The sequence below is a fragment of the Homo sapiens genome, chromosome 2, assembly GCF_000001405.40.
Source record: "Homo sapiens chromosome 2, GRCh38.p14 Primary Assembly".
Classification (NCBI taxonomy): Eukaryota; Metazoa; Chordata; class Mammalia; order Primates; family Hominidae; genus Homo; species Homo sapiens.
The window spans coordinates 100,602,694-100,618,229 of NC_000002.12; the positions used below are offsets into that span (position 1 = coordinate 100,602,694).

The 15,536-nt window shown below is 47.8% G+C and overlaps 1 long non-coding RNA gene across 1 annotated transcript, besides 1 other annotated feature; it reads left to right on the forward strand.

Annotated features, from left to right (window-relative positions):
- Window positions 1,046-6,665, forward strand: LINC01849 (long intergenic non-protein coding RNA 1849). Its single transcript, NR_146956.1, has 3 exons — window positions 1,046-1,197; window positions 4,434-4,632; window positions 6,247-6,665. It is a non-coding gene; the product is annotated as a long intergenic non-protein coding RNA 1849 (long non-coding RNA).
- Window positions 1,048-1,691: an enhancer, noted in NCBI's record as "NANOG-H3K4me1 hESC enhancer chr2:101220203-101220846 (GRCh37/hg19 assembly coordinates)". NCBI's record gives its function as "activates a minimal SCP1, AML or CMV promoter by ChIP-STARR-seq in naive H9 embryonic stem cells {active_cell/tissue: H9 hESC(naive)}" and the evidence as "EXISTENCE:reporter gene assay evidence [ECO:0000049][PMID:30033119]".
- Window positions 6,666-15,536: the final 8,871 nt, after the last annotated feature.

The window sequence follows — 15,536 nt, forward strand, 5'->3', positions numbered from 1 at the left end:
TCCGCCTCCCAGGTTCACACCATTCTCCTGCCTCAGCCTCCCGAGTAGCTGGGACTACAGGCACCCGCCACCATGCCCAGCTAATTTTTTGTACTTTTAATAGAGATGGGGTTTCACCATGTTAGCCAGGATGGTCTCCGTCTCCTGACCTCGTGATCCACCCATCTCGGCCTCCCTAAGTGCTGGGATTACAGGCGTGAGCCACTGCGCCCGGTCTACGTAAACTCTTACATCAGACTTGGAGTTCCAGTTGCTTTTGCTACCCAGCAACCCATCACAAACCTAGTGGCATGAACAACCACCTTTTGGGACATGCTCCCAAATTCCATGGATCAAGACCCATGTGGCCAGGGCTTGCCTTTGCTCCACAATGTCTGGGGCCTCGACAAGATAGGCTCAAAACACTGGGGGAGGGCTGGGCAGGTTGGTTCACGCCTGTAATCCCAACACTTTGGGAGGCTGAGGTGGGTGGATTACCTGAGGCCAGGAGTTGGAGACCAGTGTGGCCAATATGGTGAATCCCCATCTCTACTAAGAATACAAAAAAAAATCTGCAGGACATAGTGGTGCATGCCTGTAATCCCAGCTTCTCAGGAGGCTAAAGCAGGAGAATCGCTTGAATCTGGGAGGTAGAGGTTGCAGTGAGCCGAGATCACGCCACAGCACTCCAGCCTGGATGACAGAGGGAGATCCTGTCTCAAAAAAAAAAAAAAAAAAAAAAAAGCAAAAAACCCCCAAAAAACAAAACCCAACATAGGAACAAAATACTGGGAGATACTCAGGTGGGTCATCCCGCCTATGTCTGGGGCCAGGCTGAGGTGGCTGGAAGATTGAGCTCAGCTGGGACTGTTGGCTGGAGCACCGGTGCACCCCTTGCGCATGGCTCTGGCTCTGCATGTCACAGGAGCCAGGTTCCAAGAGGAAGTGTCACAAGAGCAAGCAAATGAAGAGCTCAAGAAGGTATGTGGCCTTTTGTGACCTAGCCTGGGGCATCACAGAGCATCACACTCACTACATTCTAGAAGTTGAAGCTGGCGCAAGTTGGCTGAGACTCGGGGGGAGAGGACATAGAGCCCACTTCTCCATGACATTTGCTCGGACGGGGGGTCCCAACTGCCCCAATAGCTTTGGACATCCCATGTGCATTGCTTGAATGAGCAGGACCCCAGGGTTCTTCCAGAGGAGCAGAAGTCTCAGGTTGGTTTTGTTCACTCTGCTGGGTACACCTAACTGAAAGGACTCTAAGAACCCATGCCTCTTTCATAGGGACTGCAGCTCAGGACTTTGAAGTGACTTGCAAAGGCCACACCGCCAGGACCAGAGCCTGCTTCTCCATCCCTTCCTCCTGACACAGCCGCTGATAAATGCCATTACCTGAATTCCATGCTGAGTTGCTATTCTTATCCCACGGAGGCTGCCTGTGTGCCATTGTTTTAATTACAGGCTGTTATTTCATTTGAAAAGTCAGCGATAGGATTAAGGGTACTGTCATTTTAAAAGCCAGATTCCTGGCCTAAAACCGCTCAGTGAATCAGAGGACAAATGTTCCCATTGTGCTGGTTAAAAATAGGAGCAATGGAAAAAGTGACAGAATGCGATGAATACCATTAAAGTGTAATTACATTTACTGTAGATGTGAGCCTCAGGAAGAGTCTATCCCAGGCAGGGAAGCTTGGTCAGAGCCTGTGACATGAAAAACCCAAAGCCTCCGTGGACGGCCCATTTCAGGTTTTGAGTGTTTATACTGTATATTGTTACATATCGTTCTTGGGAGCCATCCACCTTATTAGGGGTACTTGAAAGAACTGTGTCTTTCCAAAGGAAAATAAGAACCACGTAGCTCACCTTGATTCTCAGAATGTAGCTTTCCTGTATTTCTCATGAGGAACATTATACAGTTTCTGTATTTTTTGCCTCAATAGTCAAATGTAGTAGCTGAGTTGGACATATCTGAAAGGCAGGGCTAATTTTTTTCTTTTAATGAAAACAGTTCGTGTTTTTCTAATTTTAAAACAACACATTCTTGCCATATAATTTTTTTTTAAATGTACAAAGAAAGTAAACGTTAGTCTAAATCCAGCCACCCACAGATAAAGCACTACTAACATTTTGGTGAATATCCTTTCAAACTACAATCTTTATGTGGATTTATAGATAGTGCTTTTTTGTTGCTGTTGTCAAAGCTCAGCAATATATTCTGAACCTACTTTTTATGATAATAAATGTAGAGTTACATTACTATGTCTAATGACTATCTGGTATTCTGTAGGATCAACCTATCAGAATTTATTAATCATAACATGATTAATCAAGTATAATTTTGGCTCACATCTAAAAATTATTCTTTTTCTCTAATGAATGACAAATTATTTCTAATATCTCTCTATATAAATACATGTGTATGTATATGTGTGTGTATATATGTATACATATGTATATACACACACACACCATGCTTTGATGAACATGTATCCAAATGCACTTGGCAAATTATTTTCTTAGAATATATTTCTAGAATATATATTTCTAGAAATGGACTTGCTGGGTAAAAGATATTTGCATCTACTTTTTTTTTTTTATGAGACAGAGTCTCACTCTGTTGCCCAGGTGGAGCGCAGTGGCACAATCTCGGCTCATGCAAACCCCCCCACCCCCCCAGGTTCATGTGATTCTCCTGGCTTAGCCTCCTGAGTAGCTGAGATTACAGGTGCCCACCACCACGCCCGGCTAATTTTTGTATTTTCATTTTTTTTTTTTTTTTGAGACGGAGTCTCACTCTGTCGCCCAGGCTGGAGTGCAGTGGTGCAATCTCGGCTCACTGCAAGCTCCGCCTCCCGGGTTCACGCCATTCTCCTGCCTCAGGCTCCTGAGCAGCTGGGACCACAGGCACCTGCCACCACGCCCAGCTAATTTTTTGTATTTTTAGTAGAGATAGGGTTTCACCGTGCTAACCAGGATGGTCTTGATCTCCTGACCTCATGATCCACCCGCCTTGGCCTCCCAAAGTGCTGGGATTACAGGCGTGAGCCACTGCACCCGGCCAAATTTTTGTATTTTTGGTAGGGACGGGTTTTACCATGTTGGCCAGGCTGGTCTTGAACTCCTGACCTCAGGTGATCCTCCCTTCTCAGCCTCCCAAAGTGTTGGGATTACAGGCGTGAGCCACCATGCTCAGCCTGCATTTGCTATTTTGATATCTATTACCAAATTTTTCTTTGGAAATGTGCCAGTTTACACTCCCACAAATACTTTTGTCAGCATTAGTTAGGTATTACATGTTTTTAAATCCTCATTAATTCAGCAAACAATTTTATTTTAATTGCCATATAGCTTGCTATGTGTATGTCTCTTGAAGAATTACCTGTTCTTTTTATTGAGGTCTTTATTTTTTATTGACTTGTAACTGTTCATTGCATCTTAAAAATAGTAGCACTTTGTTGTGTGCTTACTGTTGTTTTCCCTCAGTTTTTCTTGGTTTTGAACTAGTTTTTGTTTTGTTTTTGTTTTTTGCCATATAGAAGGGTTACAAAGTTAAATATTTCCATGTTTTCCATTATAGCTTCTGGTAGTAACTAGAATTTACCTAAGCCCAGAAGAATAAAAAGTCACCTGTGTTTTATTCTGGCTTTATACTGTTTTCATTTGTTCTGTTATAATTTTTGTATAAGAAATCCAGGAATCTATTTTGCTTCTGAAGTGGCTGTCCAATCAGGATTTACCTTTTACCACTTGGTTGGAGAGGTGGGGGAAGAAGAGACTGGAGGAAATAGAAGCTGAAGACAGGACTAGATGTGTCTCCCTCCCCAGCCTCCTTTCTCTGCAGAGGTGGAGGAATCACGGAAGCTATCGTGGCTTTAGGTGTTGACTTTTGTCAATGTTTGCTGAAGCCAGGAGTGAAATTGAGACAATATTCCGATTCTTGGAACCTGAGTTAGCGTTAAAGGGGATGACAAACAGGCTGTTGTTAGGAGGTAGTTCCATGTAATAGGAAGAGTTTCCACCTCCCTCAGAGGCTGCCTTTCTCGTTTCTCCAAATGATTTCGCGGTTGGCCTAAGTTTCCTTTACTTCTCCCTACGATGGTGTAACATTAGCTTGAATGCTGACGCTATGTGGTGGTGAGCGGCAGTGGGTGTATCTTGCCCATAAACCCTTGGAGGACAGTGGAGGACAGGGACTGACCAACTCACCCAAGGGTCCTCTGCATGCACATGGTCCCTGCACATGGCACATAGTTGGTGCTCAGAAGGCCTTTGCTGGAACAAAGGAAAACACAAGCACCCACAGCAGTGATGGCTGATTTTGTCGGGTCTGCAATGGAGATTAGTCACCACTAGGTGTCATGGTGAGTCAAGAAACATTTTGGCTCATGGTTACAAATTATGCGTTTACTGTATTCATCTTCGTGCATGCACACATGCAATGTTTTACAAAGCATCTGTTGAGTGTCTACGGCACAACACACACGTTCTGGTGCTGGAGATCCTGCCCTGGCTGAGCTTCTGGACCTGGTGGGGAGAAATCCACAATGAGTACTGAGACGACCGGCAAAAGCCCGGTGAAGGCACCTAGGAGTAGGGCCTGCTTACCCTGGAGGAGTCGGGAGCAGCTTCCACAGCAAGGAGGCTTCTAAGGTAAGTTTTGAAGAGTAAGGGTAGGTAAAACAAACCAACCAACCAACCCAGTTTATACTTTCTCCCAGGAAGTTCAGCACAGAATGGCAGCCTGAAGGCTGGCCCAGATTTTGTTCTTGTTGAGGACAGAGCTTTTACATTTTGTCCAGTGGCTTTGGCAGAGGTTTGTGTGTCTTTTGAAGAATTACCTATTCTTCATCCGTTTTTTAAAATTGAGGCATTCCTGCATATTAAAGACACTTAACACTTTGCTGTGTGTTTACTGTTATTTTTCCTTCGTTTATCTTTGTTTTGAACTTGTTTTTGTTTTATTTTATTTTCCTGAGTTTCTGACGTTTATTTCATTTGCGTTAAGTTTCCTTGACTTCTCCCTACAGTGCTACAATATTAATGCTAGTGCTGACTCTATGTTTTTTTTTTTTATTGTCTGGATATTTGTTGCAGTTTAACGTTCAGATTTCTTTTTCTTTTTATTTTTTTGAGATGAAGTTTTGCTCTTGTTGCCCAGGCTGGAGTTCAATGGCACGATCTCGGCTCACCACAACCTCTGCCTCCCAGGTTCAAGCGATTATCCTGCCTCAGCCTCCCGAGTAGCTGGGATTACAGGCATGCGCCACCACACCCAGCTAATTTTGTATTTTTAGTAGAGACAGGGTTTCTCCATGTTGCTCAAGCTGGTCTCGAACTCCTAACCTCAAGTGATCCACCCGCCTTGGCCTCCCAAAGTGCTGGGATTACAGGTGTGAGCCACCACGCCCAGCCTAAAGTTCAGATTTCTAAGTTCATACTATCAGTATGACTACAATAATTACCTTGTTTGTCCTGGCCACCGTTAGGAAACAGCGGAGGTGGGCTAAGAGCAGGTTTGAGGCAGGGATGCAGTTGGCCCGTTCAGGTAGAGACTGGAAGACAGCACTGGGTTGGACCAGAGTCCTAGTCAGGAGCTGAGACCAGATAAGCCCCAGTGGGAGTGAGACTTACCCGGGGGCCTGGTCTGTGCCCTGACTGATAGAATTCTCACACAGGTCCTTTGGGGCCCTGCTGATCAGGGCAAAGCTTTGGGAGGTAGGCTGTGGCTGGAGGTGGCAGCTATGGGGGTCCCAGTGTACATGGTGTCAGACTGGCCCATCTCACTGCCCTTGTGCCATTAGGACTGGCAGCCAGACCACCCTAAGCTTGACCCTTAGCTCCCGCCACCTGGCTTTGAGCACCAAGCTCTCAAGAGGCACATATTTACTGTTGCTTCTTAACCTCAGTAGTTATTGCAAAAATACTAAATTATTCCTGTGATTATTTTTGAATTTTCTATTAAAAAATACCCTCATTCATAGTTAATATCCAGGATTCATGGCCCAGTGGGTCTTGAGTGAATGGTAACAGTATGATTACCTATAAAAGGTTGAATTCTAGAGACACCCACAGGTGGCCCAGCCAGGCTCAGCTTCCGTCATCTTCTGAAAGATGTTTTTGTCCATCTTACTTCCGATGGCAGAGGAAGTTTCCCAAACAAACTTCTCTCAAGAAAGTCAGGAAGATAGGACAGAATTTCCTCTCATTTTGCTTGAGATAATGGGGCTTTGAGGTCACTAACTCTTGAAATCTTCTTCCACCCAGATTTTTTGTTCTTTGTCAGCATGAGTACCTGGGATCTTACATGTAGCCCCTGCATCATTTCAGAAATGATCTCCAGTGCCCAGGCTCTGATGCCCAACAGACCTGAAGTTACATCCCAACCTGAACAGGCGGCTTTTGCTCTCCAGGCCTTCATTGCCCCACAGTGGGAACAATAATAATATGCACCTTCTAGGTACCCAAAAGCACAAGAGACAGTGAACGGAAAGTGCTTGGAAGCCCCGTGCCCAGGTGGTGCTGGCCCCAGCTGAACTGCGGGGATAGATGTTGAGTGTCCAGGTTCTAGCATCATAGAACAGAATCCGGCCTGTTGGGAAATCCTGCCTACAAGTATACCTCCATTAATTAGTGTCTTCTGTGAACATTTTTATTAAAAAAAGAAGAAAAGCTTCTCAACCCAAGCCCAAGGGCATGTCCTGATTTGTTGAAAGTAGTTGTAAGACCATTTCATTATTCACTCTACTTTTTCATATGTTGGAAATGTTTTATAAGAATAAATACAATAATATCAGGCTGTGTGCGGTGGCTCATGCCTGTAATCCTAGCACTTTGGCAGGCTGGCCAACATCATGAAAGCCTGTCTCTACTAAAAATACAAAAAATTAACTGGCATGGTGGCGCGCACCTGTAATCCCAGCTACTCGGGAGGCTGAGGCACAAGAATTGCTTGAGCTGGGGAGGCGCAGGTTTCAGTGAGCTGAGATTGTGTCACTGCACTCCATCCAGGCTGGGAGACAGAGTGAGACCTTGTCTCAAAGAAAAAAAAAAAGAAATACAAAGATATCAGCTTAAAACAAAAGAACTCATTTGAAATTTGCCAGTCTTTTAAATTTTGTTTTCTTTTTTTAATACTATTTGTTTTTGAGAGTCTCACTATGTTGCCCAGGCTGTTCTCAAACTCCTAGGCTCAGGTTCCTCCCATCTCAGCCTGTGGAGTATCTGGGATTACAGGCACATCCCGCTGCACCCAGCTTCCTTTCCTTATAAGTTCAATGAAACCGAATTGTATGCTTTTGCTTTTTAAAAAGCTGTGCACAAAAATGTCATTTTATATATTAATAATTATTTCCCTAAATCTATTCTTTTGCGTATAGGTTTGGAGAACCTCTGGAATGATACTCCCAAAATATTATTTTTTAAGAAATTATTTTTGGGTGGTGGCCTATTGGGTAAATTTTTCCTGAACTTTCTATTTTGTATTCTTGTCATTATTTGGATAGTTTTACAGAAACAAAAGTTGTATTCTGTGAACACAGAGGGAGAAAGAGAAATAATAAAATTATTTCCCCTTCCACTGAGCTGTATGCAGCAAGAGTTTGGGGGCAGTGAGGTCCCGGGGTCGGTGGAAAGAGGGGACAGGGAGCCACAGGGCGGGTGCTGAGGTGGACACAGCCTTGGGGAGCACATTGCCTACTCAGTCCATGCCCCCATCACACCCTTTGCCTGCAACGCGCCTCCAGCTCTGGAACTCATCCTCCACTAACCCGGCACCCACAGGCCAAGCTGTCACGCAAGGAAGCGGCCACGCGAGGGCGTGATCTACCAGGGATCCGTGCCTGGGTCTGTGCATCCTCCCTTCTGCAGCCAGAAGAAACCCCTTTGAAGAAGCGGGTGGATGACAAGCTTGCAATACACCGGGGAGGGGAGCAGCATCCCCAGAGGCTTTTCCATGCACCCTCTTTCTGAGCAGCTCTGGATACCCTGGGTCAGCTCCCACACAAATTGCTCATAACTCATTAGTCACCCTTAAAATTAATCTCTCCAACAGTGACATCCTGTACTCAGGCGGTGTCTTAACCCCCTGAAAATGCCTTCGTGGCAATGTCCCTGTGGCATAAGCATGCCCCATTTTGCAAGGGAGGGAATTAAATTTCAGAGAAGTTAAGCGATCCAGGGAATTTCAGTAGCAGAAATAAGTCTAGAACGGAGATTACCCAACTTGACTCAAATGGCAAAACGTTTGTCATGGGGAATTTAATTCTTTAAACCTTTTCGTTGCTTTATCTCCTTGCTTGGAATATTCACCATCCATGTGCCCACTAAATCCTGACTGCTCTGAGACCACGTTCTTCATGCCAGTCTTATCTCCCGTGCCTCCTGGGCTTAGGAATCTGATGAGCCTGAGTGTGGATCTGGGTCCTGCCCCCTGACTGTGTGGGGTTACCCGGATTCCCTGAACTTCGGTCTCCCCTCATGGAAAATGGGGATGGTATGCCTTCCTACATGAAGGCGATCTCAATATAGTTACCAGCTGGCGACTATACAGGCAGTTGTCAGTCAGCCTGTGGGACACATGGGTGGCTGGATCAGTCTGGCAGGAGCAGGTGGAGAGAATTACCAGGTGATATGCTGACCCCACGAGGACCAAGGACCGCACTGCTCAAGCCTTCACCTGCCACTTGGCATTAAAGCCTCTTTACCCTTGTCTCCCCAACCGGACAATACATTCCTAGGTGGGAGGGCCCCTGCCTTTCACTGCTGCTGTCTTGGAGCTAGGCAATGTAATTTCATGTATCAGATGACGGCTGTCAAGCACTAAGTTTTGTTTGTTCCTTCTGCTGTCTCCTAAGTTCACAAATAAACAACAGCCCTGAGAATCCTCATGGCGGCTTTGGAACCTCGAGCATCATAAAGTATATTCGGGAGTCCGGAGGGCCTTGGCTCCCTTGTGCTGGCAGGGCAGAATGAAGCTGGGTGCATTGTGTGTGCCCCACCAGCACAAGCGCTAGCATTTGTCTCAATGCCGGGGATTCCTGGAGCACCCGCTGTTCTCTAGACGCCCCCTTTACCATGGCAACATCTCTGGGCCGTCGCGTGTGTGGAGGACTTTTTTTGACCATGACAGCTAATTCTGAGTCTTGTTACCTCCATGCGTGGAGGAAGGCACAGGCCCCGCTGTATGGAGGGCAGCCCCCTCTGCCCCAAGGTGGGGAGCCCAGGCTGAAAGTTCACACTGCCGAGGTGGGAGTCTTGTTTAGAAGGTAAGAAAAGTGGCCAGGCCCGGTGGCTCATGCCTGCAATCCCAGAACTTTGGGACGCCAAGGCAGATGGATCACCTGAGATCAGGAGTTCGAGACCAGTCTGGCCAATATGGTGAAACCCTGTCTCTATTAAAAATACAAAAATTAGCTGGGTGTGGTGGCTCACACCTGTAATCCCAACTACCTGGGAGGCTGAGGCAGGAGAATCGCTTAAACCTGGGAGGTGGAGGTTGCAGTGAGCCGAGATCGTGCCACTGCACTCCAGCCTGAGTGACAGAGTGAGATCCTGTCTCAAAAAAAAAAAAAAAAAAAAAAAAAAAAGCAGAAGAAGAGAAGAAGAAAAAGAAAAAAGAAAAGCCCGTGGGCTTTGGACACAGGGCCTGGGGGATGCCCGTTTCATCTCCACAGCAGCTCCTAGAAGACGGAAACACTTGATGAGGCAGGGAAGGTGGCCGAGGCGTGGGATCTGCCCATTCTTCAGGTATTTAGATGGCACCGAGCCACCCCTCTGGGCCTGTGCCCTCATGAGGGCTGTGCTGGGAGGGAGGCTGGGGCTGGAAGCCGGGGTTCCCCACCTGGCAATGGGAGAGGGTCTGGCTGAAGCCAAGACCCATTGAGGCTGTAGGGTCCTGTGCACCAGATGGTTGGGAAAGGGGTGAGGCTGGTTGGGGAGGAGGCCTTCACCCCACAGCCAGGAAGCTCTGTGGGGGAGGACACAGATGTAGATGTAAGAGCCTGTGAATGCTGTGGCCCGGGCTCCCCTGGACTCTGAATATCCGCCTCCTGCAGGCCCAGGGGACCAGGACAATCTTCCCGCCTGCACAGGTTGAGGACAGAGGCTCAGAAAGGTGCAGTGGCTTGCCCAAGGTTGCACCGGGTTACCAGTGCTGGAAACCAAGTCTCCTCACCACCTTCCCAGCCACTCCCCTTTCTACCATAGCTTGGTGCCCACTGCTCCCTACCCTGCCCCTTTTCCCGCCCTCCTCATGCCCCATGGCCTCTGTAGGTACTGTACTGGAAGCCCAGCACTTTCTAGCCTGGGGCCAGATGGCTGCAAGGCAGGCAGTGGGTGTGGGGGCTGAGGCCTGTGGTGCTGGGCCCGCCAGCCCTGGGGGAAATCCTGGGACAGCCTTCCTGCAGGAAGCCTACTGCTTCTCCTGGTGGTCTTAGAATCAAACTTTCTATAGAGGGGCTTGGGAAGCCATTTTGTGCAAACTCCCTCTCAACACATAGTAAAAAGCCATACGTGGCCGGGCATGGTGGCTCATGCCTCTAATCCCAGCACTTTGGGAGGATCACCTGAGGTCAGGAGTTCGAGACCAGCCTGACCAACATGATGAAACCCCATCTCTACTAAAAATACAAAAATTAGCTGGGCATGGTGGCAGGTGCCTGTAATCCCAGCTATTTAAGAGGTTAAGGCAGGATAATTGCTTGAACCCGGGAGGTGGAGTTTGCAGTGAGCCGAGATCTCACCAATGCACTCCAGCCTGGGCAACAAGAGTGAAACTTCGTCTCAAAAAAAAAAAAAAAAAGTTGCACATGATCAGAGCCCAGAAGATCCATTCTGAGCACTTCCAGCAACAAGGGGACCAGGTAAGCGCACCCAAACCAGAGCCTTTGCTTGTGAGAAACTCCTCAGGTGGAACCTATCCCTCAATCACTCCCCACCCCTTCCCACCCTTCTGCCTCTCTGTGCCTTCCCAGGAGGGGCCACATCCTCCTGATGGCCCAGGAGTCTGAGTCCTGTCCTGGGGTCCTTGGCTCCTCGCCAGCCCCACACCTCCAAACCCACTCCATCCTCAGTTCTTCCCAGTTTAATGCTGGTTCTTTCTTTCTTTCTCTCTTTCTTTCTTCCTTTCTTTCTCTCTTTCTTTTCTTTCTTTTTCTTTCTTTCCTTCCTTCCTTCCCCTTTCTTCCTTCTTCCTTCCTTTCTTCCCCTTTCTTCCTTCTTCCTTCTTCCTTCCTTTCTCTCTTCCTTCCTTGCTTCCTTTCTTCCCCTTCCTCCCTCCCTCCTTTCCTCTTTCCCTCCTTCTCCCTTCCTTCCTTTCTTCCCGTTCCTCCCTCCCTCCTTTCCTCCTTCCTTCCTTCCTTCCCCTTCATCTCTCTCTTTCCCTTTGTTTCTTTCTTTGTTTCTTTCTTTCTTTCTTTGTTTCTTTCTTTCTTTCCTTCTTTCTTTCTTTCTTTCATCTCTCTCTCCCCTCCCTCCCTCCCATCCTTCCTTCCTTCCTTCCTTCCTTCCTTCCTTCCTTCCTTCCTTCCTTCCTTTTGATGGAGTCTCACTCTGTTGCCCAGGCTGGAGTGTGGAGGTGCAATCTCAGCTCACTGCAACCTCTGCCTCCCAGGTTCAAGCGATTCTCCTGCCTCAGCCTCCCGAGTAGATGGGACTACAGGCACGAACCATCACATCCAGCTAATTTTTGTATTTTTAGTAGAGACGAGGTTTTGCCATGTTGGCCAGGCTGTTCTCAAACTCCTAACCTCAGGTGATCTGCCCACCCCTGTCTCCCAAAGTGCTGGGATTACAGGCGTGAGCCACTGAGCCTGGCCTACTGCTGGTTTTCTAATTGCCTTCCTGCTTCCAGTTTTGTCCCCTTGCAATAGATTCTTAGCAGGCCACACAGTGATGGCTCTAAAGTACAAGCCCAATTACATCAAGCTCATGCTCCTTTTGGCCTTGGGCCCCAGGGCCTGTTCTCTGGAAAGTTCCTGCCCCTGCACTTAGCACTAATGGCCTGCACTGGTTGCGTGCCTCACAGGGCTTGGTCCTGGGCTGCGTGCTGCTCTGTCCCACCCCAGCAGGGAGGCCCTGGAGGGCAGGAGTCCTTCTCGTCGTGTGCAGAGTAGGTGCTCAACAATGTTACCCAGAGGAGGGCGGGATGAGCATGAGGACTAGGGGCGAGTTCGTCCATGCAATCCCAGCCTGGTCCCGGGTGCCTCGGCACATGTGAGGCCGGGGGCTCCTATGGTGTTCCACAGGCTTCTCTGGCCATTTGATGTGGGGTCTGTGCCTCTTCCCCTCAATGTGCCCTCAGTGGAGCAGGCTGTCCTGCCACTGTCTCAGGTACACATTGTGTACTTCGGGCACGTGAGAGGGAGTGAAGAGGGGACAAAGAACTTCCACGCTCTGGCTTTCTAGTCCCCGAGGATTTCCCATCATCCGGAGAGTCCGGGTCCTCACGGCCTCAGATGGCTTTCAGGAGCCCCTGGCAACTTTTGCCTTTATGGGCCCTTCTTCTATAAAACATGATTAAAAATTCCACTTTATGACAGAGTTGGTATAAAGATGAATATAATCATCTTTATTAATAAAATACAATTTATTATTTTGTATTCATTATCGTGATGTTCATTTTTTATTCTTAATTGAAGCAAATTAAAATGAAAACATTTCTGTGAGCCCCTCATAGCACCGTAGTCCCCAGGCTCTGTGCCTCCAGAGGTCTTGGGAGTGGCATCTTCTGAGCATCTTCAGAGCTGCCCCTTCATGGAGGGGATCACTCTTCCCTGGAAGTGGAAGGGCGGGCAGAAGACCTCCTATGGCTCAGAGCACAGAGTCAGAGGAAGCAAAGGCAGGCTTTGCAGGATGTGTGTGGGTACGTAATGGCAACCTGAAAGCACAGAGACACGCAGGTATCCTGAGACCTCCCCCACACCTCCCCAGGAACCTGTGCATGGTATGTTCATGTTTCTATCCTCTGCCTGGAGAGTGATCACTCCATCTCTCTCTCTCTGTCCTTCAGGCAGTCACCCATGCCGGGGCAGCAAACACTGCCCTGCGTCTTCTGCTGATGCTCTCAAAAGCAGCGTGTGACAAGCCATGACTCACTTATCAGCACCAGTCATGGAGATCCAGTCACAATTATGGAAAGGAGCTAAGGGTGACAGCTGCTTTAAATACCCTCTGGAATAAAGCAGGGTGCGGGGTTGGGGGACAAGATTATATCGAAGGGTTAGTTCTTAGAGAAGACACTGCTTTTTGAAACGGACATTTGGAATGAAATAAAAGCAGGTGTCAACTTTGTGTACTCCAGAGTTACAGCCATAATCATGCAGTGTTCTGGCTTTTCTCCCTGGGCAGGGGAGGAGCCTGCCATCACCTACCCATCACATCTCTTCTGAGCACAAATGATGCGTGCAGGGCATGGGGCCATGTCCCTGGTGGAGCTGGACAGCCTGGAAGTCAGAATCCTGGTGAGCTCCTTGCTTTGTCAATGGTTAAGCTGTGACACTCTGGCACCCTCACCGCCCCCAACCCCCACCCCATTTCAGATGCAGACTAACATTGGTATAAAGAGAACTTCCCAGGCCCAGTGCAGTGTCTCACGCCTGTAATTCCAGCACTTTGGGAGGCCGAGGCGGGTGGGTCATTTGAAGTCAGGAGTTCGAGATCAGCCTGGCCAACATGGTGAAACCCCATCTCTACTAAGAATACAAAAAAAAAAAAATTAGTTGGGTGTGGTGACACATGCCTGTAGTCCCAGCTACTCGGGAGGCTGAGGCAAGAGAACTGCTTGAACCCAGGAGGTGGAGGTTACAGTGAGCCAAGATCACGCCACTGCACTCCAGCCTGGGCAACAGAGTAAGACTTGATCTCTCTCTCTCTTTCTCTCTCTCTGTCACACACACACACACACACACACACACACACATATACACACAAGGGAGAACTTCCTGAGAGATAAAAGAAGAAAGAAATTACTGGGGAAAATCCCAAACTGTATCATCTTTTGGTTTCCATGAATATCTGTGAGACCCAAACTGGCAGCGTTTTACCCGTGAGTTTGGCAAATCCAAAAGATTGGCTCTCCACCAAGAATGATGGAACCCAATTCTGCATCCATGTACATTTTTGAAACATTTCCTAGGAGTGAGAATAGTTTCTATTGTTTTCTGCTATCTGAGGCCCCCTTAGGGTGGAATCTTCTCTGTGGAAACCGCACACTAAGGTGACTGTCACAAGGTCCTACTCACCATGCCCAAGCCCGGGGTGCAGAGCATCCCATCCCCGCATCAGGTTGCCCTTCTGTAATAGTCACATGAAAACTCATATGGTCCTTAAGTGGCTTCGACGCATCACACAAGTTCTTGTTGAAACCAGGGCTTGTTTCAGAAGATGATCCTGTTGCCCTTCCATGCAGCCTAGCGGAGAAGCTGCTCAGATCCTCACATTGCCCTGGAACAAAAGCAGCTTCTCATAGACCGAGCTGAGAATCTGATGGGCCTGGCTTGGTGCCTGGTCCTGCCTCTGAGGGTGGTCAACCTTGGCAAGTTCTTCTAGACAAATGTGGATGACCACATCCCTGCATGGTCATTTATGAGGGTCTTTCAGACCACAGAGCCAACGGAGACCAAGTCCAGTTGGGAGGGAATTGAGCTTGACTGTTGACACTGCCCCAGCCAAAAGCTCAGGACCTGGTCAGAAATGAAGAGACTCAAGGCAAAAAATTCACAGACTTTCTGAGAACCTCATTCCAAAGTTGGCACATTGACAAGCTGTGGATGAGGCTTTTTTCCTTTTGTTTGCATTAATATAGGTGTTTGAAAGATGAGATCTCAAGTTGCATTATAAATTTCACTCTGATTCTTTGCAAACTTTGAAATGCATCTCACTGTAGCTGAGCTGGGTCCAGCCATCAGATCAAAGGGGTGCTTGTTCCTGTTGAAGTTTTTTTTTTTTTTTTGAGATGGAGTCTCACTCTGTCACCCAGGCTGGAGTACAGTGGCGTGGTCTCGGCTCACTGCAACCTCCGCCTCCCGGGTTCATGCCATTCTCCTGCCTCAGCCTCCTGAGTAGCTGGGACTACAGGTGCCCGCCACCCCGCCCGGCTATTTTTTTTTTTTTTTGTAATTTTAGTAGAGATGAGTTTTCACCGTGTTAGCCAGGATGGTCTCGATCTCCTGACCTCGTGGTCCGCCAGCCTTGGCCTCCCAAAGTGCTGGGATTACAGGCATGAGCCATAGTGCCCGGCCGCCTGTTGAAGTTTTATTGGCCTAAGACAGAATCTAATTTTTTCCAATTAGTCATCTGTATCCATGTTCTCTGATGCCCAAGGACAAGTTAACCTGACCACAGTCATCTGCCAGCATTTTCAAGGAGAGACCAGGCCATTGAAGGCAGTTTATTATGAATATTGCCACTGGGCTTACTTGGATAAAATCATTTTCTTTTTCCCTTCCTTCCTTCCCCTTCCTTCCTTCCTTCCTTCCTTCTTTCCTTCCTTCCTTCCTTTCTTTTCTTTCTGAATCTGCTAAAATGTTAACTGTTTATTTAGGGTGTTGAGATTATAG